Genomic DNA, 24,034 nt, shown 5'->3' with positions numbered 1-24,034 from the left:
ATTTCTAGAGAAGAAAATTTATATCTGTTTATGGAATTGATTATGGAAAGAAATGGTTGAAGATTAATATTACCAACTCATGACTGTCCTTTCTTTGTTTACATTTTAGGCTGCTGGTCTGGCTACTATGATCTCTACCATGAGACCTGATATAGATAACATGGATGAGTATGTCCGTAACACAACAGCTAGAGCTTTTGCTGTTGTAGCCTCTGCCCTGGGCATTCCTTCTTTATTGCCCTTCTTAAAAGCTGTGTGCAAAAGCAAGAAGTCCTGGCAAGCGAGACACACTGGTATTAAGATTGTACAACAGATAGCTATTCTTATGGGCTGTGCCATCTTGCCACATCTTAGAAGTTTAGTTGAAATCATTGAACATGGTAAGTTGTAATGTAACTTTGTCTTTTTTTTTTTTTCTTTAGGAGACAGGGTCTTACTATGTTGCCCAGACTGGACTCAAACCTTTGGGCTCAAGTGATCCTCCTGCTCAGCCTCCTTAGTAGTTGGGACTAGAGGTACACACACAGCCTGTCCATGTTTAATAGGACAGCTGTCCTAAAATTTGGGCTACTGATTTGGGGAGATAAATGGAAAGGCATAGCTCTACAAACTATAGATTTTATGATGGGTTTGTTATATTATCTGCTGACAGGCTATGGTTCATGTTTTGCTTTTACCTAATTTTGTTTAATGTGAACATATTCTGCAGTTTGGCTGAATAGTTGATATATTGAGAGAATCTGGATGATATTGTGTAACTTAGGTAATGTTGGGGCATAGTTAAAACCTGTGTTTGGTTTTGTAGGTCTTGTGGATGAGCAGCAGAAAGTTCGGACCATCAGTGCTTTGGCCATTGCTGCCTTGGCTGAAGCAGCAACTCCTTATGGTATCGAATCTTTTGATTCTGTGTTAAAGCCTTTATGGAAGGGTATCCGCCAACACAGAGGAAAGGTAAATCCACCAATTACCTTTTGATTTATCTTCATTAAAGTTAAGGCGACATAAATCTAAATTACTAAAGTACATATATTTTTTATTTAAAAATAGGGTTTGGCTGCTTTCTTGAAGGCTATTGGGTATCTTATTCCTCTTATGGATGCAGAATATGCCAACTACTATACTAGAGAAGTGATGTTAATCCTTATTCGAGAATTCCAGTCTCCTGATGAGGAAATGAAAAAAATTGTGCTGAAGGTAATTATTCCAGATTTGTTAATGTAAACTGGATATGTTTCATGGTTCTAACAGAATTTTAAAGTGTTTTTAAAAATCAACAAAAAAAACTGTATGTTACACGAATACTGTTTGATTTGTTTTTAAATTTTATTTTTTAAAATCACGTAATCAGCAATGAGTATTCTCTTCATTTCAGGTCAGTTGATTTATTATTACTATTTCTTAACCTTTTAGGTGGTAAAACAGTGTTGTGGGACAGATGGTGTAGAAGCAAACTACATTAAAACAGAGATTCTTCCTCCCTTTTTTAAACACTTCTGGCAGCACAGGATGGCTTTGGATAGAAGAAATTACCGACAGGTAAGCTTTTATTGTAAAAGAATATTCTCAAAAGTCCTTTCAACTCATTCTTTAGTCAACTTGAATGCATGTTGTATATTATTTTTTGCCTTGATTATCTCACAGTTTATATGTGCTTGATTATGAAAGGAGATGGATTTTAGTCAGCCAGTTAACTTCCATTTTGATTTTGGATTCGAGGATTAATACTTAACTGTGAATTGATGTTTTTGTCTGGTACATTCAGTGCTTTATCTGGCTAGATGAAACATGGACACAGTTTTACCTTGAATCATGTTAACTTATACTCATTTTTCGATGTTTGGTCACTTTTCTCTTCAACTTTAATAAGTAGCAATGAATCATTCTTACCATGTTTATTAGCTAAATAAGTAGTATATTTAGAGTATTTGGTTTTCATGATGTTGCTTTATTTCCTTGGAAAAGCAGTCTAAAAGGTTTTTTGTTTTTCTGTTCTTTTTAGTTAGTTGATACTACTGTGGAGTTGGCAAACAAAGTAGGTGCAGCAGAAATTATATCCAGGATTGTGGATGATCTGAAAGATGAAGCCGAACAGTACAGAAAAATGGTGATGGAGACAATTGAGAAAATTATGGGTAATTTGGGAGCAGCAGATATTGATCATAAACTTGAAGAACAACTGATTGATGGTATTCTTTATGCTTTCCAAGAACAGACTACAGAGGTAATGAAAACTATTATGGCACATTGCTACTAACTTTAATATTTGTAGAAAAGCATATTAGTTGTCAAGCAAATTTTTCTAGAATGCAATTGAATTTGAAGTAATTTTTAAAATGCTCAGGGGGTTACCAAACGATATTATTCTACCTCAAGTTTTAAGATTTGATGTAAAAAAACAGCAACAGATGTTTGGGTGGTTAGAAAAGGTTGACTCTTAGTGTATTTCAACTGTGCAGTCATAAACCAAATGAATATGTCTTTTTTTTAAATTTATTTTTTAGGACTCAGTAATGTTGAACGGCTTTGGCACAGTGGTTAATGCTCTTGGCAAACGAGTCAAACCATACTTGCCTCAGATCTGTGGTACAGTTTTGTGGCGTTTAAATAACAAATCTGCTAAAGTTAGGCAACAGGCAGCTGACTTGATTTCTCGAACTGCTGTTGTCATGAAGACTTGTCAAGAGGTAAACTTTTGCATCAAATTCTTACTTCTTCCCCAAATAGTTTAATGTAAATAGTAACATTTTAACATTATTTGTTTTATTATAGGAAAAATTGATGGGACACTTGGGTGTTGTATTGTATGAGTATTTGGGTGAAGAGTACCCTGAAGTATTGGGCAGCATTCTTGGAGCACTGAAGGCCATTGTAAATGTCATAGGTATGGAATTTGCTGGTTACATAAGACTTTTTCTTGTTTTAACTTTCTTTTTCTTTTTTTTTTCGTAAGTAAAATCTTATTTAGGAGTTGGGAGGTTTTTGTTAGCTTTTTAAAAGCACTTCAAGATTGTAGTTAAGTCGGGGGATGTCACAAAAGTCTTGTTTCCCAAAACCCATTTATATTTTACTTTAAAGAGAAAAAAAGGGTAAGTTTAGGACCTACATGAGAGGTGGGAGTAGTCACAGCTCAAAAAGCTTTGAAGTCATGGAATACAGGACCCTAGTAGAAATAGTGTGTCAGGTGAAATATATTCTGCCATGTTCTGCTGCGGGGTGAAAAGGCAATCCTAAAGTTTTAATTTAGTTTTAGAACAATATATATATATTTAAACCTTGAATTAGCGATTATGACAGGTTTTTTGCTTGTGATCAGTTTCAAGGAATATAATCAGAGAAAAGTGAACTGATCAAATTATTGTCTTTATTTACATACCCAAGTTTTAAATACTGTCCATTCAGTTTTCTAACCCGTAATACAGCTATATTACAAATGGTCTTGGATATGGAGAGCAAAGTTTTTATTCCATTAGGGCAGTATGAAGAAAACAAATGGTTTCTTATATTTAATCTTTTTTTTAAATTGATTATAACTGTTGCCAAATGTAACTCCTGCAGAGTTTAGAGGCTCTGATAACCTAGCAGAAGTCAAAATAGCTGACTGTGAGAGAGCCACTGTTTGTTTTTCCTCATTTTGTAAGAGGTATTTATGCGATACACATGTTTAAACTATTGTATTTGCATATAATCTCCAATGCAACCCTATCCTCTATACTTGAAGATAGCTACTTGCCAGAAATCATTTACATGGCCACTTGTAGGGCTCTGGTTTGCAGGGAGTTTTAAACCATATTGTTTGTCAGAGAGGCATGGGAAGAGCAATGGAGAGAGAATCAGAGCAAGTGATTCTAGTTAGAGCAAGAGCCCCTGCCAGCTGCCTCCTTTTTTCTCTCTTCGTAGGTGTAAATACCATCCAAGTATGCCCTGCATTGCAGGGAGACTGGAGATCTGTTTGTTTTGCAGTTAAAGGGTAAGGGGGCCCTTTCTGGAAATTTTTGCTTTATTTACATGTTTACCTCTGGCTTATATTGTTGTGTATGGCCGGAACATAAGCTGTCCCCATATTTAAATGTCAGTGCACAAATATATTTCAGAATCAAACAAAACTTTTTTGTTATTGAGTATCCATCATCCTTTAAATCACTTCACTGATTTCTTTCATTTCTATACATAATCAAAAATTGTTAATAAAAGTTAAAAACGATTCTGAGTCTGGTCAGAATCTGGGGCTTTCTCTTTCCCTAGGCAGCTGTAAGTTTATATTTATACATAGTCATATATGACATTGCTAAGTAAAAGGAAAGTGAACAAAAGTTGCAATTCAAATGTTGATAGTTTATTGACTTCTATTAAATAGGTATGCATAAGATGACTCCACCAATTAAAGATCTGCTGCCTAGACTCACCCCCATCTTAAAGAACAGACATGAAAAAGTACAAGAGAATTGTATTGATCTTGTTGGTCGTATTGCTGACAGGTAAGCAGATTACCCACACATTTTTATAAGCAGTATCAATTTTCAAATTTGGCCACTTTGTATTCAATTAGCAAAATTTCCTTAATGTCACTAATATAAGTGTAAAAGATTAGGCTATCCAGTATTAATATTTTCAGTCAAATTTCAATTTGGATGGTAATGGGGGTGGCAATGTAATTTTAGGACTAAACCTGTAAGACTAACTCTTCAGCCTTTCTGAAGAGTAGTAAGTTTTATTTAATGCTTAAAATGAGTTAATCATGTTTTTAGAACTGAATTTGCAAATTTATCCTTAAAACTTTTCTTAATGTCACAATAATTAATATGTGTATTTTTTAAATTAGGGGAGCTGAATATGTATCTGCAAGAGAGTGGATGAGGATTTGCTTTGAGCTTTTAGAGCTCTTAAAAGCCCACAAAAAGGCTATTCGTAGAGCCACAGTCAACACATTTGGTTATATTGCAAAGGCCATTGGGTGAGTGTTATTTACTTCCATTAAAAAAAAATTACTTTATAATAAATGCATTGTGGTATTGGAAAATACTTCCATGTAGAAATCTCTTTTGAGGCATGGTCTGAATAATGCAGTTGAGAAAGCTCTTCATTTAACCACTGACCTTCTGATTATTGGAATGTATTGTTAAATTCTTTTTTTTTTTTTTTGAGACGGAGTCTCGCTCTGTCACCCTGGCTGGAATGCAGTGATTCAATCTCGGCTCACTGCAACCACCGCCTCCCAGGTGCAGGCGATTCTCCTGCCTCAGCCTCCCCAGTAGCTGGGACTACAGGCATGCACCATCACGCCTAGGTAATTTTTGTATTTTTTAGTAGAGATGAGGTTTCACCATGTGGGCCAGGCTGTTCTCGAACTCCTGGCCTCAAGTGAGCCACCTATCTTGGCCTCCAAAAGTGCTGAGATTACAGGCGTGAGCCACTGCGCACAGCCTGTAGTCTTAAATTCTTAATTAAAATAGATGGAAGGGTTTAAGACTTACTTTAATTACACTTTAGGTGTTTTCAGGGAGGGAAACAGTACCATTTTCAGAAAAATTTAAAATGTGTGCTGGTCTTCTAGGATATTGCTTAAACTATTAAGGCAAGTTTTTAGTCTCACAACATCATTTAAGTCTCATATTAATGCTTTATATGTTTTAAAAATCTTATTATGGATTGTTTGAGCCCAGGAGTTCAAGGTTACAGTGAGCTGTGATTGTGCCACTGCACTCCAACCTGGGCATCTGGGCACCTGGGCGACAGGGCGAGACCCTGTCTCTAAAAAAAACAACAAAAATGCTATTCTAACATTACTCCACGGATTTAACTGAATTATAGCTGCTTTGTGAGATAATCTGTGGTGGTTTGCTTCCACTCCATCACAACTAAAATAGGAAAAAACAGTCATTGTAGAAAACGAGACACCACATGTCCATGTGGCTTAAGAAAATGTTTTCAAGGAATATGACATGTGAATGTCTGATTAATTAGGTAGAATTATACCAGACAACACCCCCTCCCCTAACACATACTCATTCCTCTCCTATTTTGGTAGCATAATATTTATTTCAGTGGTGATGGAGTCAAGACATTTGCAAGAATAGCTTTTGTGCAAGCTTTTAGCCCCAATGTCCCTCTAAGTTTATGTCAAAGAAGAGGCAAATAGATGCAGCAAATTGTGTGGAGGAAAGATAAAAGGAAAAGAGATTTTATATGGTTTATAATGGGAGACTACAATTCGGATATTCCCCTCACCACTCCTACCTAGTTCTAGTGCCCATTTTGACAACTCAGAGAATTACTCACTTTAAACATTTAGTTAAATTTCTTTATATTTCAGAAAGTTTAAGAACTGAAAATTACATTTGAAAATTGAGTTAACTTAAAATGTTTAGAATTTGTACAGCTATGACCTCTGATCTTCTCAGAGTCAACTTTTTTAAACTGACCTTTTAATTTATATGAAATTTTTATATAGAAACAACAATGCCAGTGACTTGAAAGTATTGCATTTTATAAAATTACTGAGTTCCCTGTAATTATTAATACTTAAAAGTTTTCATCTTTATGCATTTTTTTCTTCCATAAATTTTTGACTTATAATGTAACAGCTTGTTGACCCATTTGTTTTTTTCAGCCCTCATGATGTATTGGCTACACTTCTGAACAACCTCAAAGTTCAAGAAAGGCAGAACAGAGTTTGTACCACTGTAGCAATAGCTATTGTTGCAGAAACATGTTCACCCTTTACAGTACTCCCTGCCTTAATGAATGAATACAGAGTTCCTGAACTGAATGTTCAAAATGGAGTGTTAAAATCGCTTTCCTTCTTGTTTGAATATATTGGTGAAATGGGAAAAGACTACATTTATGCCGTAACACCGTTACTTGAAGATGCTTTAATGGATAGGTAAGTGACTTGAACTAAATACAAGAAAATAATTATAACTCTTCCTTCATTTTAGAACATCGTGAAATAGTTATTAGATGACTTTTTACTGTAACATAGTTAAAGAAAAAATTGCTAGCCTGGAGTCTTAGGACATTGTAAATATGACTTATTATTTTAAAATAATGTGCACGCTGTAGTGATTCCCCAGACTTTCTTTCAAGTTCTCCCATCCCCTTTAAATCTCTTTTCTTATCTATTGAATTAAATAAATTTTGAAAAGGGTTGATTGATAATCTTTTGTTTTCAAAATTGGTCAAATATAGTTAGAGGACATGATGAGCAGAAGCTAATGGGCAGAGACCTGATCTTTTTAGCTTTTTGTTGCAGGTAAAGGACAGGTTTCTCTTAAGCCTTTGAATTACTGAACAATAGCCTGCCAGAACTACACTCTTCCTGTTGCAGGTCCCTGGTGTTTCAGATGGTGACCACCAGTAGAGTACTGTTCAAGTTATTTGACAGATTGCTAATACCTTTTACCATCTAGACTGACGTACAGCCTTAAACACAGAAGTAACTGAAGAAAGTGCAAAGGAAAGTGCAAGCGTAGTAAGGGAAAGAACTGTTTCACTGGCTCTTTATTTTTCAGGAGAGATAAGTTACTCAAATCAGAGCCCATTCAAATACTTTTGTGTACAGATTTAAGTTATTCATTAATAACCTTCTGAAAGGGAGACTTAACTGGACTCGACAAGTTACCAGAACGTATATATGCAAGACATGGAGACAAAGTAAGAATTGTGCTCTGTAAAAGCCTGGCTGCCCAGGGCTAAAAAAAATGAGGGTAAATCACCCTTGCTCTGTATTCCTTAGTGAGAAGTGCCTGAGCACCATAGTGCAGTCATTAATGTATGTCACCTGCAGTTAAAAACTTTTTTCTGTGTACTAAGAAGTTAAGGGAGTAATTCCATTGAAAATTACTAAATGAAAAGAATACTTCAGTTGGAAATTTTATTAATGAGGAATACTGCTTCATTCTTATGCTGAATGACATTATTAAAATAAATAGGAAAAACAAGAATATTAGTAAATACAAGTATTTTTCTCTTTTCTCTTTGATATGGTCTGTGTTACTATCTTTGGAGCAAAGTGTGGAAACTCATTTTTTTTTTTGGACGGAGTTTTGCTGTGTCACCCAGTCTGGAGTGCAGTGGCATGATCTCGGCATACTGCAACCTCTGCCTCCCAGGTTCAAGTGATTCTTCTGCCTCAGCCTCCCAAGTAGCTGGGACTACAGGCGTGTGCCACCATGGCCGGCTAATTTTTTGTATTTTTGGCAAAGATAGGGTTTCACCGTGTTAGCCAGGATGGTCTCCATCTCCTGACCTCGTGATCTACCCGCCTTGGCATCCCAAAGTGCTGGGATTACAGGCGTGAGCCACCGTGCCCGGCCTGGAAACTCATTTTCATACCCATTGCAAATCCCATTGTGTTAGCCAGCGAGCTCATACTTGGTTGAATAATTGTGGAATGAATAACTCATTGATTTTTCATGAACATAAATTCAGTTAACATAGGAGATGATAGTTATTTCTGTAGGTTTGAAAAAATTATTGATCTTTTGTTCCTCTCCCCAAATTGAGTTATTGAATGAAACTTAAACTTTACGTGAGAAGGGAATTTAACTTTAATTTAGTTACCTATTATATACCAGTATCTGAAGTACTAGTAAAGATTTAAGTTTATAATCAAGAGTTTAAAATGATTTGGGAGGCCAAGGTGGGAGGATCGCTTGACCCCAGGAGCTCAAGACCAGCTTGGGCAACATAGCGAGGCCTTCCCTATCTCTAACAATAACAATAAAAAAGAAAAATAATTTTTCTTTTTTTTTTGAGACAGAGTTTCACTCTTGTTGCCTAGGCTGGAGTGCAGTGGCACAATCTCGACTCACTGCAACCTCCACCCCCCAGGTTCAAGTGATTCTCCTGCCTCAGCCTCCTGAGTAGCTGGGATTACAGGCGTGTGCCAAAATGCCCTACTAATTTTTGTATGTTTAGTAGAGACGGGGTTTCACCACGCTGGCCAGGCTGGTCTTGACCTCCTGACCTCAGGTGATCCATCTGCCTCGGCCTCCCAAAGCGCTAGGATTACAGACATGAGCCACCATGTCCGGCCTGAAAAATAATTTTAAAAAAGAGAAAAAAGTTTAAAATATTACTGTTTATTATTCATATGTTAGAACCACATGCCTCCTCTTTAGTAGCATAATAAAGCCAAGACTTCACAGAGCCCTCCTGCTCATATTCCTTTTAAAAGTTAATTAGATGGCCAGGCACGGTGGCTCACGCCTGTAATCCCTGTACTTTGGGAGGCTGAGGCGGGCAGATCACAAGGTCAAGAGATCGAGACCATCCTGGCCAACATGGTGAAACCCTGTCTCTACTAAAAATACAAAAATTAGGCAGGCGTGGTGGCACACACCTGTAATTCCAGCTACTCAGGAGGCTGAGGCAGGCGAATTGCTTGAACCTGGGAGGCAGAGGTTGCAGTGAGCCAAGATCACACCACTGCACTCCAGTCTGGGTGACAGAGTAAGACTCCGTCTCAAAAAAAAAAAAAAAGTTAATTAGAAAATATGGCTTAATTGTTGAGCCATAGTGAATCTTGAGTAATTAAAGCAAAAGTCCTCAAGTGGAAGCTATTCTAAAGGATATATTAGATATATGAAATGTTAGATGACTTCACATCTATTCAGTGCACTGAATTAGTAATTTAGTTTCTAATGGGCCGGTGAATATTTCCTGTAAAACTAAGACTGTATCTTTAAGGATTTTTCCCCCTTTCTTATAAGACCGCATCTTAAAGGACTTTTTTCCCTTCCGTTGTAGAGACCTTGTACACAGACAGACGGCTAGTGCAGTGGTACAGCACATGTCACTTGGGGTTTATGGATTTGGTTGTGAAGATTCGCTGAATCACTTGTTGAACTATGTATGGCCCAATGTATTTGAGACATCTCCTCATGTAATTCAGGCAGTTATGGGAGCCCTAGAGGGCCTGAGAGTTGCTATTGGACCATGTAGAATGTTGCAATATTGTTTACAGGTAAGTTAAAGATTTTTTTTTTAATCGGTGATTTTTTTTTTTTAAATAATACTTTAAGTTCTGGGATACTTGTGCTGAACGTGCAGGTTTGTTACATAGGTATATATGTGCCATGGTGGTTTGCTGCACCTATCAACCTGTCATCTAGGTTTTAAGCCCTGCATGCATTAGGTATTTGTCCTAATGCTCTCCCTCCCCTTTCCCCCCACTGCCTGTAAGTTAAAGATTTTTAAAAGATTACTTAGCAAGAAAAGTAGTGTATTGAATTAAGTTACTTTTCCTGATTATCATTAGGGTATATTGTGCCATATGGTAGAACAATTGTGTGGTGACAGGGGAGTGAGTTTTGTCTCTTCCATTGCAGCTTAAGAGCAGTGTAATTAGTAGGTTCCCCCCCCCCCAACTCCCCAAGGGAAATAATTTTGAATCATATCTTTATGTTTTCTTAATTTTGTTAAGGTTATGTATGTTCTTAAAAATTGAAATAATGTAACCGTTCAATTATTTTAGGGTCTGTTTCACCCAGCCCGGAAAGTCAGAGATGTATATTGGAAAATTTACAACTCCATCTACATTGGTTCCCAGGACGCTCTCATAGCACATTACCCAAGAATCTACAACGATGATAAGAACACCTATATTCGTTATGAACTTGACTATATCTTATAATTTTATTGTTTATTTTGTGTTTAATGCACAGCTACTTCACACCTTAAACTTGCTTTGATTTGGTGATGTAAACTTTTAAACATTGCAGATCAGTGTAGAACTGGTCATAGAGGAAGAGCTAGAAATCCAGTAGCATGATTTTTAAATAACCTGTCTTTGTTTTTGATGTTAAACAGTAAATGCCAGTAGTGACCAAGAACACAGTGATTATATACACTATACTGGAGGGATTTCATTTTTAATTCATCTTTATGAAGATTTAGAACTCATTCCTTGTGTTTAAAGGGAATGTTTAATTGAGAAATAAACATTTGTGTACAAAATGCTAATTTGTGTGTGTTTTTTGAACATGACTTGTAAAATGCGGAACTTTGATAAAGTATTGGTTTATGTGGAATAAGTGGCTTAATTTCATTTTCTGTCACATGGTTTATAGAAAGTAGTTAGCTGAATAAAAACTATATAAAGTGATGGCATCTTTGTCAAAATTCCATTGTTGTGTTAATAATGACAGCAAGAAGAGTAGCCTCAGGGGATGTTCCCCTCAAACTAGCACAACCATTCCATCATCGTAGAAAAGTAGCACTTTTGCTAAACTGTCTTGAATATTTTGTACTTACATAGCGCCTTTCATCTCTTGATTTCTCAAAATGCTTTATGAACACATTTAAAGAAAGTGGTTTAAGTCTTGTCCAACACTTGACAGGTCTGCTGTGTTTAGCAAGTGAGGAATTTAACTTTACTTCAAAACTGCTTTCTGCCTATTAGGAGTGAGGATACCTAAGTAATGCTGATAGAACAGGACAATGTTGGGCTTTTCTCCATGTTATAAGCCACTACTCAGCAATGCATCAGTAAATACCTATTCACCCACTGTATGCCAGCCACTGTGCTTATATGCAGGGGATGCAAAGGTGCATGAGACCTGCCCTCTACCTTTAAGAACAGTATAATGGAGAAGGGGAGACAAACCTTGTGACAGATTCCTTATGTACTGTGATAATACACAGTGGCAGCAGCTAAAATGTCTAGGTTTGCTTAGCTTTGTATTCAGTAATAATAAGTTGATCTAAGAGTTCAGCATAAACTGAATGAAATGCCATTTAATGGTAGAGGAACCAAGCATTAAGGCAGTACTACACTTAATTTTTTAAGCAAATATGTAAAGTATATTTTCAAACTTTTCTAATGTTATGGCCCCAAATTTCTTAGTTTTGGCCTTTTTACTACCTATACTATTTTTACTGTTTTGTTTTGTCTCCATGTGGTAGTACTTCTGTGAACTCTAAAGGGAAAAAAAATTCTGCAAGCAGCATTAGTATATAACTACTACTGTAAGTAAAACTGCCTATTGACACTTTAGGAGTTCCTGCTTCAGAAGCTTAGTTAAGAAACAGCTTGTGGCCGGGTGTGGTGGCTCATGCCTGTAATCCCAGCACTTTGGGAGGCTGAGGCGGGCGGATCACGAGGTCAGGAGATCGAGACCATCCTGGCTAACGCGGTGAAGTCCCGTCTACTAAAAATACAAAAATTAGCCAGGCGTGGTGGCGGGCGCCTGTAGTCCCAGCTACTAGGGAGGCTGAGGCAGGAGAATGGCTTGAACCCGGGAGGCGGAGCTTGCAGTGAGCCGAGATAGCGCTGCTACACTCCAGCCTGGGCGACAGAGACTCCGTCTCAAAAAAAAAAAAAAAATTGACTTTCAACAAATTGATAGTGAGCATTAAGGGTTTCCAAGTTGGATTTGTAACTCCTCATCATTCCTTGTATGACAACTTTCTGAATATATGTCACTATGTAGTAAAATTAAACACTCCAAACTCATCTTTCTGTTGTTAGAAGTTTTCAGCGGTACTTCCATGCAACTTTAAATCTCACTGCTCTCTATGGTTGATGTCAAATGACCTTCAGTAATGACTGAGAATTGAATACAAATAGATTACAAAGCCAAAATTTGATGTTAAATGACTCAGGAAATTTTAGTTGTATTTTCAATTCAAGTACTTAGTAGCCTACGTTTGCTTGGCCTCTGGTTCTTTATGGAAAATAGGCTTTGTAGTGGCATTGTGGAGCAAAGGAGACTGTTACACCTTAATTAACTTTTTTTACTGATGCAAATAATTTGAGGATAGAGAGGAGGGAAGTAGTGAAAGCTATGACCTAAAACATTGGGACCAAATAGAGGCTCACAGATATTTGGATTATTTTATGTGCTTATTATTAAATAAGGAAAGCATTTTGTGATATGTGGAAGACGCTATGTGAAGTTTTACCTATCTTCTCAAAGACCTTTTCTTTTGTATTTTCTTTTGGTGTTTCTTAAAGCCAAACAAAGAAATGTTCTTAAGGAGACAGGGTGGGTTTTTCTGTGGGCCTTTGTTGGTTTTTCTGTGGGCCATCGCCCTCTAATGGAATTGATCTCTGGCTGTTTGATTTTTTTCATATTGTATTTTTAAAATTTGTTGTACAGTGCCCTGTGAGCACCAAGTACCACTAGATGAATAAAACGTATTATATCTAAAGTCTTAGTAGACCAATTTTTAATCTTAGTTGACTCTGTATTGTTATCACACTGCACTCTGTTGTGGTTGTGCCATTTTTGCAAAATTGAGCTCTTTCGGTTGTTTTCGAAATAAGGGAACTTAGTGTTGAAAAACCAGAGAACTTTTTCTTTAATAAGAAACTAAAAAAGTTGCAGCCACATAGGTTCAGTTTGGCTCTTTGGTTTCCAGTGGCTCTCAAATCCCCTAAGGTTAAAAGAAAACACTACAGCTACCCTAGGGTTTCTCAACCTTGGCATTATTGACATCTTGAATCAAATAATTCATTATTGTGGGGGTGCTGTCCTGTGCCTTGCAGAATCTTGAGCAGTGTTCCTGACCTCTACCTATTGAGATGCCAGCAGCACACCCCCATCCCAGTGTAATAACCAAAAATGCCTCCAGACATTGTCTCATGTCCCTTGGAGAGCAAAATCTCCCTAGGGTGAGAACCACTGAGACCATTGTTTAAGCAGGACTTACATGTTTAATAAAATTAAAGCATGATATATAAAGCATTTGATTTTAGGCAGCAGTTGTCTAGGAAGTAACTAGAAATACAACTTAGCAAATACTTAAATGTCTACCTTGGGGTAAAGCTCCGCATAAGTCCTGGGGAGAGTAAGCTGTGAAAATGTGTAAGATGACCCCGCACTGATCCTCAGAGCATCTTGTGACAGTTGGGAGCCATGTTGGCAGCTCGGGCAGGAGTGCTGGAGGTGGCTTGGTGCTCCACTTGGGATGCTGGTCTTCAAGCATTGTGTTCTCACCTGTGAGCTGGCGATAGGTGGGTTATATGGTACGGCTGGAAGAGGAGGGCAGGCAGGGCACAGAAACCCCTTCCTCCCCTTTTAAAAAATTTGGATAGGAAGCCATGGAGGGAATTTAATGTGACTTGATAGAGAATTTAGGTTTGCAAGGCAGTCAAGATTTGTAGGCAGGAGGGAATAAGTAAGTAAACCAGAGTGAGTGTAGTCAGTGACATCTCTAGTGTTCTTGCTAGAATAACTAAGTTTTAAAATTTATTTTGTGGATTCTAAAAAGATTTTGAAAGGACATGCTTGGGCCTTGGACAGTTACTTTTTTATAGCCTGGCTGATTAATGAAGTTCTGGAAGGAAATTTTAACATGTTAGCTGAGAGGCTGGCGAGGGGATTTAATCTAAATAGGTTTGTGCTAGGAAAAAACTTGTAAATAGAAGAAATTGTTTCTATAACTGCCCAAACTTTGAAAAAAGTTGAAAGACTATTAAATGAGCAACTGTATATTTTCCACTTAAATTCAACAATTAAAATTTTGCTATTTTGCTTTTGTGTATTTATTTTAAATAGTGAATTTCTTGAGACAATTTTCAAGCAGTATTGCTGAAGAGAAGTTTGGACTAGATAAAATAGAGGAGGAAGCTAATGAGCTAAACAAAGTGGGCGACTGCTTGAATGAATGAATAATGAGGCAGAGAAGTGTGGAAATCAAGCACAGATGGAAGGGTTTTCCTGAAGAGGAGGAGCAGCATCTTTCCCTGAGTACATAAGGAAAAAGATATGGTGGGTTATAGGCATGAAAAGTTCATCTATGGCATGTCAGAATTTCAAAACAGTTTTCTTGGTGCTTTAGAAACAAGTAGACATAGTGAGGAAAATGAGACTTGTGTAAAAAATTCATGCAAAAAAGCTGGTGAAGTTTAACACTCAGACACTCTGGTGTCTATAGTATGTATAATGTGTAATGTGTAAACCGATGCTTTACATAGTTTTGATCACAGAAGCAGAATATAATTTATACATTTGGGAAGAAAAGCACTTAGCACCAAGATGATCACCAAGGAAGAACTGTTCACATGCCACATATCTAGGCCATTGTTACTCAAGCGTGGTCTGGAGATTGGCATCAATGTCACATGGGGATTTTAGAAACATGCTTGTAGGCTCCATCCGGAACCTGAATAAGAAGCTGCATCTTTGGGCTGGGCTTGGTGGCTTCGCCTGTAATCCCAGCACTTTGAGAGGGTGAGGCAGGCGGATGACCTGAGGTCAGGAGTTAAAGACCTGCCTGACCAACATGGAGAAACCCCATTTCTACTAAAAATACAAAATTAGCCGGGTGTGGTGGTGCATGCCTGTAATCCCAGCTACTCGGGAGGCTGAGGCTGGAGAATTGCTTGAACCCGGGAGGCGGAGGTTGTGGTGAGCCGAGATCGCGCCATTGCGCTCCAGCCTGTGTAACGGATGAAACTCCGTCTCAAAAAAAAAAAAAAACCCAAAAAACTGCATTTTTATAAGATACCCAAGTGATTCATATGCCATTGAAATTGAGAAGCACTAGACTGGGACACCACTCCATTCTCAATGTGGCAATAACACAGTAAAAAAACAATTGAAGTGCCTATTTGGGTGTGGAAGCAAGTGGGCCTTAGACACAGCCAAGAGGTTATCAAAACACTTCCAGGAAGGTACTTTGCTGGAACCTGGGTGAAATTAAAAGAGAGGGTGCAGGAAGCCTTTTTTATTTTAATAAAATCCATTGCTTTTTCCAATAAAGCAGGTCAGCGTAATGTAGTTAATAAACCTCATAGGTGTATCTCCGTATTGCTTCTGCTGCTTACTAGTTGACTGACATTGGTTGTTGGAGAGGCTTGGAATGGAAAAGGAGAGCTCACTGTCTTGACACTGGTATGAGGTCACCTGGGGGAGCCAGGTAGCCTTTGGGAATCCTGGCTCTGCCCTTACTGTGCCCTGACAGAAGAGTGGAACAGGAAGGCAACACAGTATAGGTTTAGGAGTTGGCTCTGCAGTTAGTCCTGGATTTGTAACCTGGCTATGCCACTAACTGGTGATGTGACCTTGGGCAAGTTTTTTAACCTTTCTATCCTTCAGCTTTTTAATTTGTAAAATGGGGATAATAATAGTACCTACCTCAGTAGGTGGTGGTCCTTGTAAAGATTAGCTAAAATAATGTATATAAAGCAAAGTGCCTAAGCACAGCACTTAATAAATGTAATGGCTGCTGCTGTTGATATAGTTATTTTACTATTATTATAGAGATGGGATCTCACTATATTGCCCAGGCTTGTCTCAAACTCCTAGGTTCAAGCAAATCCTCCTACCTTGGCCTCCCAAAGTGCTGGGATTCGCAAGTGTGAGCCATCACTCCTGGCCTGTTATCATGAGGGAAAAGACCTCTGTTATTGCTGACATTAGAAGGGATGGAGATTGGCAGGTGGCTTGAGGAGCAAGCACTTTGGAAATAACTCTTGAGGAAATAGAAGGCACTCATCAGGGATGTTTAGATTGTCTGGGAATCCCAAGGGATTGCAAGGTATTCTTTAGTATTGCTCAACAGTCCAGCTGGCTAGAGAAGGTATTTGGTTGGACTGATCTGCAGGTGCAGCAGAAGGAAAGAGAGAATTAGGGGATTGGTGTGAGTTCACTTGAAGACTTAAAAGCATAGATTTGGGCCGGGCATGGTGGCTTACACCTGTATTCCCAGCACTTTGGGAAGCCAAGGTGGGTGGATCATTTGAGATTAGGAGTTTAAGACCAGCCTGACCAACATGGTGAAACCCTGTCTCTACTAAAAAGGCAAAAAAATTAGCTGGGCATGGTGGCGCACGCCTGTAGTCCCAGCTAATCGGGAGTCTGAGGCAAGAGAATCACTTGAACTCGGGAGGCAGAGGCTGCAGTGAGCCAAGATGACGCCACTGCACTCCAGCCTGGGTGACAGAGCAAGACTCCGTCTCAAAAAAAAAGTATAGATTTGCTCTTTAAATCTTCAAATCATTTTAGATGGAACTAGTGTCATTCAGTGGTTAGAAGCACCTGAGAAGCACATCCCTCAAGTTTTATTTCTCTGGGAATAGTGACATGATTCTACCCCGAATGCTAAACAAATGAGATATATAGTTCAATACATTTTCATTTTCTAATGGGGATTTTTACATTTTTTTCTTTAATTAATTTATTTGAGACAGTGTCTTGCTGTGTCGTCCAGGCTGGGGCACAATGGCATAATCTAAGCTCACTGTAACCTCTGCTTCCTAGGTTCAAGCGATCCTCCCACCTCAGCCTCTAAAGTAGCTGGGACTACAGGTGCATGCCACCACACCAGGCTAAGTTTTGTATTTTTTTGTAGAGACGGGGTTTTGCCATGTTGCCCAGGCTGGTCTTGAAACTCCTGAGCTCAAGTGGTCTGCCCGCCTCGGCCTCCCAAAGTGCTGGGATTACAGGCATGAGCCACTGTGCCTGGTCTATTTATTTATTTATAGAGCCGGGGTTTTGCTATGTTGCCCAGGCTGGTCTTGAACTCCTAGGCTTAAGTGATCCTCTTGTCTCAGTTTCCCAAAGTGCTAGGATTACAGGTGTGAGCCACTGTGCCCAGCCATATATTTTAATTGCATTAAGTAATCATGAACAAATGATCTACTTGGATTTTGAGTTCGTGAGATGATAACTTTTGAGGAGGTTTGAGAAATGTCTCTCAGGGGTGTAAACACAGTTATCTACAATTTAAATCATGAGGACTTCATTCATTTATTTGGCAAATATTTACTAAGTGCCAGCTATCTACAAGGCATTTGCTAACTATTAATACTATAAACATAGTTGAAAAGGTCCTTCCCTGTAAGATGCTGGAAAAACTTCCTTCACCTGGGAGCTTCCTTCATGTGGGAGGAGGGAAAGTGAGATTAGGTGGGAGCTTCAGGAGAAGGGTGTACTTTTTAGGGAAAAGTTAGAATTGCATATATGGTATTGAAAGGGACAATGAAGAGCCTTGGCAAAATAGTGGAACTGGGAAAGCTTGGGTTGTGTCTAAGAAAATAGGGTGGGGGGACAGCCCAAATGATGAGAAATAATGGAAGATCAGATGTAGCCCCAAGAATTCAGGGCCAGTATCTGCTATGTCTGTTCAAATCTGAACTTCTAGCACCCAGTACCATACTTCCCTTCCTAGGCACCCAATATGTATGTATTGAACAAATGAATGGATGAATGGTATTTTGGATTCAGATTACGGAATGTCTCTGTATTAGTCTGTTCTTACATTGCTATAAAGAAATACTTGAGACTAGGTAATTTATAAAGAAAAGAGGTTTAATTGGCCCACGGTTTTGCAGGCTGTGCAGGAAGCATGATGCTAGCATCTGTTTGGGTTCTGGGGAGGCCTCAGGAAACATAATCATGGCAGAAGGCAAAGGGGGAGCAGACACAGTCACACGGCCAGAGCAGGAGCAAGAGAGAGAGAGGAGGGAGGTGCCACACACTTTTAAACAACCAGATCTGGCAGGAACGAACTCACTATCATGAGAACAGCACCAAGAAGATGATGCGGCTAAACCATTAGGGAGAAATTCACCCCTGTGATCCAATCACTTCTCACCAGGCTTTACCTCTAACACTGGGGATTCAGTTATACATGAGATTTGGGTGGGGGCACAGATCCAAACTATATCATTACTCTCTAAAGGCCATTCTTAAACTTTATCTTATAGGCAATGGGTAACCACTGACTATTCAACATTCACTTATTCCACAAGTATTTATTGAAGATTTTAAAGTAGGGAAGTGGCATGAATTGAACCGTGCTTGCAGGAAGATCAATATCTCTAGTTCATTTCCTTGATCCAGATCATAGATACATAAAGAGCTTATACAGCAAATGTTCTCAGAGCTGAATTAGTTCAAAGATGCTCAGACTAAGTCATGGTCCCCACCCAGCTGCTTTCCTCCCACCTCCTTAACTGTGATACTGTGGCCCCTGCTGGTCGCTGCCTCAAAGCTAGACAACCACTGCCCAAGAGCTGGGACAATTGTGGAAGGGAACGGTATCAAACTAGTTTTGTGTTCTTCGGATTACTTGCTTGTTTGCTTCTTTCCTTAAAAGTTTACTTTAGAGGTCTAGAGGGTGTTAGTCAGAAAAATAGCTTTTTTATACCACAAAGGGATCTAGGATATTCCATATTTTCCAGGGAAAATGATTTATAGAAAATCTTCCAAATGATCCTGGCTAATTGGATTTGCAGACAAAGGGCAGGTGGACATTTTCCACATGAGGAGTTGGGCAGGTGAGCTGTTCATGTTGTTTCTGGAGCCTGGAGCTGCAGCACTCTGTCCAGCCACCCCAATGGATCATGATACATGTGACAAAGCAGGGAAACAAGCAGGCAATGCTCTGAAAAGGGATGCATGACAGCTATTACTTAATATTGTCTTGGAGAAAAAAGAACAAGAAGGAAAATCCTTTTTGAATGCAGTGCTGTTTTCTTGTGTGCTGAAATTTACTTACTTATTTCATTTTTTGAGACAACGTCTCACTCTTTTGCCCAGGCTAAAGTGCAGTGGCGTGATCACAGCTCTCTGCAGCCCCAGCCTCTCAGATTCAAGTGATTCTTGCACCTCAGCGTCCCAAGTAGCTGGGACTACAGGCATGTACCGTGCCTGGGTATTTTTTAAATTATTATTTGTAGAGATGGTGGTCTCTGTATGTTGCCCAGGCGATCTCAAACTCCTGGACTCAAGCTATCCTTCCACCTTGGTCTTCCAAAGTGCTGGGATTACAGGTGTGAGCCACCATGCCCAGCCTAAAATTTTTGTCTTGATAGCTTTTTGTTTTTGTTTGGAGATAGGGTCTCGCTCTATCACCCAAACTGGAGTCCAGTGGTACAATCATGGCTCACTGTACCCTTCACCTCCGAAGCTCAAGTGATCCTCCCACCTCAGCCTCCCAAGTAGCTGGGACTACAGGTGCATGCCACTGCACCCAGCTAATTTTTGTATTTTTAGTAGAGACGGGGTTTCACCGTGTTGCCCAGGCTGGTCTTGAGCTCCTGGGCTCAAGGGATCCGCCTGCCTCAGCCTCCCAAAGTCTTGGGATTACAGGTATGAGCCACCATGCTTGGCATATCTTGTTAATTTTAACAAGAATCAATTAACTGGGGCCTAGCAAAGAAGAAAATCATTCCTGATTTTGGTGAGATGTGTGCAAATAGACAATGTCTAAAAAAGAATGTCATCATGATTAGAAACTTTGTGTTCAAAGGAAAAATTATAAAACCTACATTCATTCAATAAGTAATTTAAGAACACGCTTTACATCTGTTAGTGCTTTATAATTTCCAAATGCATTAGCATTCATTCACTCACTTATTTCTCACAGCACCTTTAAGAAGTAGACACTTCTTATGCCAACTGCACAGACAAGAAAATTAAGGCTCAGAGAGGTTAACTGATGGTGCGGTTATTTTAAGCATGGCTGATCTGACTCCAAGCTGATGCTCTTGCCGCTGATGCATGTATTCTCCGTTATTTTCAGCTTTTTTTTTTTTTTTGAGACGGAGTCTCGCTCTGTCACCCAGGCTGGAGTGCAGTGGCACGATCTTGGCTCACTGAAAGCTCCGCCTCCCGGGTTCACGCCATTCTCCTGCCTCAGCCTCCCGAATAGCTGGGCCTACAGGCACCCGCCACCATGCCCAGCTAATTTTTTTTCGTATTTTTAGTAGAGACGGGGTTTCACCATGTTAGCCAGGATGGTCTCGATCTCCTGACCTCGTGATCTGCCTGCCTCGGCCTCCCAAAGTGCTGGGATTACAAGCGTGAGCCACTGCACTCAGGTATTTTCAGCTATTTTAACTATCAAAATTAGTTTTTAACACTGTTGTTCTGAACTAATGAGAAGTGTATGATTTTTTTGAGGAGTATCATTTCCTTACCAAAATCCATTAGGACTGATAAAGTCAAAGTCACCAGGAGACCAGGAGGATGGAAAACATTATTATAGAGTACAGAAATAAATGAATATTTAATGTTTGATAGAGAATGAATTACAGGGACATAAAAAATGGAAAAATTTTGCCAAAACCCTGTTCAAAGGGAAAACGTATGGCTCACTGAAAGATGAGGCACTAAATGGAAATGAGATGAATAATGGAAAACTGTAAATAATTAATGTCTTGGCATGTGTGTGTACTCTGATAAAGACAAAACTTTCTTTTGTCACTTAGTTAACTGGTTTCATGAGGTGAAACAAGTTCAGCACTGAGGGGAAATAGTTTTTTAATATTCTCCAATTTAAAACTTTTAATTAAAAAGTAAACTTTAATGTTGAAAATGCAAACTTGGGGAGGGCAGAAATATCACACACAAGGCTGTCACTTCACACTTGGAGGGTTGCACAGCGGCCGGGCAGAGGTGCTTCTCACTTCCCAGATGGTGGGCAGCCGGGCAGAGGAAATAGTTTTATGAGCAATCAATTTAGGTGTTTCCTGGAGGTAGAGTTTTCAGATCCCACAGATGATCACTGTTTACTCCCCGCTTGGTGTTTCCTTGTGTCATTTTGTGAACAGTAGTTCTGACTATGTACAAATCTCTGTTGGCTGTTTAGTGGTCCCCTTTCTCTTTGAGATAGAGTCCTCAGTAGATAGCACACACACACACACGTATATATTTTGAGACAAGTTCTTGCTCTGTCGCTCAGGCCGGAGTGCGGTGGCGTGATCTTGGCTCACTGCAGCCTCGACCTCCTGGGCTTGGTCGGGTGATCCTCCCACCTCAGCCTCCTGAGTAGGTGGGACTACAGGCACATAGCACAATGCCCGGGTAATTTTTGTGTTTTTTTAGAGATGGGTTTTGCCATGTTGGCCAGGCTGGTCTCGAACTCCTGGGCTCAAGTGATCCACCTACCTCAGCCACCTAAAGTGCTGGGATTACAGGCGTAAGCCACTGTGCACGGCCAGATAGCAAAATATTTGAACTCTTGTGGATGTGGATAGAATGCATACAGAACATCCCTGGTGTGATTCCGTCCTGCGTGGCTGTTCTCTGGAGCAGCGTTCGTTTATCTCCGTCCTCCTTCTCTCCCACCTAAGTGCGTGCCACCATCTGATGGAAGATTCAATGGACATGGACATGAGCCCCCTGAGGCCCCAGAACTATCTTTTCGGTTGTGAACTAAAGGCCGACAAAGATGATCACTTTAAGGTGGATAATGATGAAGATGAGACCAGTTATCTTTAAGAACGGTCAGTTTAGGGGCTGGTGCAAGGGATGAACTGCACATTGTTGAAGCAGAGGCCATGAATGATGAAGGCAGTCCAATTAAAGTAACACTGGCAACTTTGAAAATGTCTGTGGTGGCTCACGCCTGTAATCCCAGCACTCTGGGAGGCCGAGCCGAGGCAGGCAGATCACAAGGTCAGGAGATCGAGACCATCCTGGCTAACATGGTGAAACCCTGTCTCTACTAAAAATACAAAAAAAATTAGCCAGGCATGGTGGCGGGCGCCTGTAGTCCCAGCTACTCGGGAGGCTGAGGCGGGAGAATGGCGTGAACCCGGGAGATGGAGCTTGCAGTGAGCCGAGATTGCGCCACTGCACTCCAGACTGCGCAACAGAGCGAGACTCCATCTCAAAAAAAAAAAAAAAAAAAAGAAAAGAAAAAAAAGAAAATGTCTGTACAGCCAACGGTTTCCCTTGGGGGCTTTGAAATAACATCACCAGTGGTGTTAAGGTTCAAGTGTGATTCAGGGCCAGTGCATATTAGTGGACAGCACTTAGTAGCTGTGGAGGAAGATGCAAAGTCAGAAGATGAGAGGAGGAGGATGTGAAACTCTTACGTATATCAGGAAAGTGGTCTGAGGTGGTAGCAAGATTCCACAGAAAAAAGTAAAACTTGCTGCTGATGAAGAAGATGATGACGAAGATCACGATGATGAAGATGATGATGATGACTTTGATGATGAGGAAGCTGAAGAAAAAGCGCCAGTGAAGAAATCTATTCAAGATACTCGAGCCAAAAATGCACAAAAGTCAAATCAGAATGGAAAAGACTCAAAACCATCATCAACACCAAGATCAAAAGGACAAGAATCCTTCAAAAAACAGGAAAAAACTCCTAAAACACCTAAAAGGACCTAGTTCTGTAGAAGACATTAAAGCAAAAATGCAAGCAAGTATAGAAAAATGTGGTTCTCTTCCCAAAGTGGAAGCCAAGTTCATCAGTTATGTGAAGAATTGCTTCTGGATGACTGAGCAGGAGGCTATTCAAGATTTCTGGCAGTGGAGGAAGTCTCTTTAAGAAAACAGTTTAAACAATTTGTTAAAAAATTTCCATCTTATTTCATTTCTGTAACAGTTGATATCTGGCTGTCCTTTTTATAATGCAGAGTGAGAACTTTCCCTACCATGTTTGATAAATGTTGTCCAGGTTCCATTGCCAAGAATGTGTTGTCCAAAATGCCTGCTTAGTTTTTAAAGATGGAACTCCACCCTTTGCTTGGTTTTAAGTATGTATGGAATGTTATGATAGGACATAGTAGTAGCGGTGGTCAGACGTGGAAATGGTGGGGAGACAAAAATATACATGTGAAATAAAACTCAGTATTTTAATAAAGCAAAAAAAAAAAAAAAAAGAATGCATGCAGAACACAAGGCAACCGCCAGCACTTTAGTGTGCCTTGGATACCCCTCCAGGGCCCTTTTGCTTGCCTTTGTCTTGGCCTCTGACCTGGCCATACACTGAGGCAATGGGAGATGAAGTGGCCCGGGGACCAGCAGTTGCCAGGCAGCGGAGTAGCAGCTGGGGTGCTCAGAGTATAATTCAGTCCCCTCTTGCTATTGCCAGAACTTACCACCCTCTTCCAGGGGCCTCTGCCTTGGCACATGCAGTTGCTACTATCCAGAAAAGCCCTTTGCTTCCCCTTCAGCTGGCTGGTCCCCGCTAGTTCTTTGAGAATGGACTCCTTCGACTTCATTAGGACCCCCCTGGCGAAAGTGCTGCATTGACGTGCTCCCCCAGCACCTGGGGTGCACACACTTCTCCCTTGCTCTACGACGTGGAAGTCATCTGTTCAGTCGTCTTCCCCGATGGTCTGTGA

General features: G+C 39.7%; 1 protein-coding gene and 1 pseudogene across 4 annotated transcripts in view; both read left to right on the top strand.

Annotated features, from left to right (window-relative positions):
* Positions 1-13,152, top strand: part of SF3B1 (splicing factor 3b subunit 1) — a 45,310-nt gene extending 32,158 nt beyond the window's left edge. For 3 of the 4 annotated variants that reach the window (NM_012433.4, XM_047443838.1, XM_047443839.1), the window contains 12 exons: positions 110-380; positions 806-951; positions 1,048-1,194; positions 1,411-1,536; positions 2,000-2,221; positions 2,502-2,684; positions 2,770-2,881; positions 4,355-4,475; positions 4,820-4,951; positions 6,608-6,880; positions 9,748-9,964; positions 10,475-13,152. In NM_012433.4, coding sequence (NP_036565.2) covers positions 110-380; positions 806-951; positions 1,048-1,194; positions 1,411-1,536; positions 2,000-2,221; positions 2,502-2,684; positions 2,770-2,881; positions 4,355-4,475; positions 4,820-4,951; positions 6,608-6,880; positions 9,748-9,964; positions 10,475-10,633 — 2,109 coding nt within the window. In that variant the 3' untranslated portion in view covers positions 10,634-13,152. Of the gene's footprint in view, positions 1-109; positions 381-805; positions 952-1,047; positions 1,195-1,410; positions 1,537-1,999; positions 2,222-2,501; positions 2,685-2,769; positions 2,882-3,897; positions 3,968-4,354; positions 4,476-4,819; positions 4,952-6,607; positions 6,881-9,747; positions 9,965-10,474 lie in introns of those variants that run through there. The other variant, XM_047443840.1, reaches the window with a different exon arrangement.
* NPM1P46 (nucleophosmin 1 pseudogene 46) lies at positions 22,028-23,551 on the top strand (annotated as a pseudogene).

Source organism: Homo sapiens, chromosome 2, assembly GCF_000001405.40.
Source record: "Homo sapiens chromosome 2, GRCh38.p14 Primary Assembly".
Taxonomy (NCBI): domain Eukaryota; kingdom Metazoa; phylum Chordata; class Mammalia; order Primates; family Hominidae; genus Homo; species Homo sapiens.
This window is presented reverse-complemented; position numbering and strand designations above follow the sequence as displayed.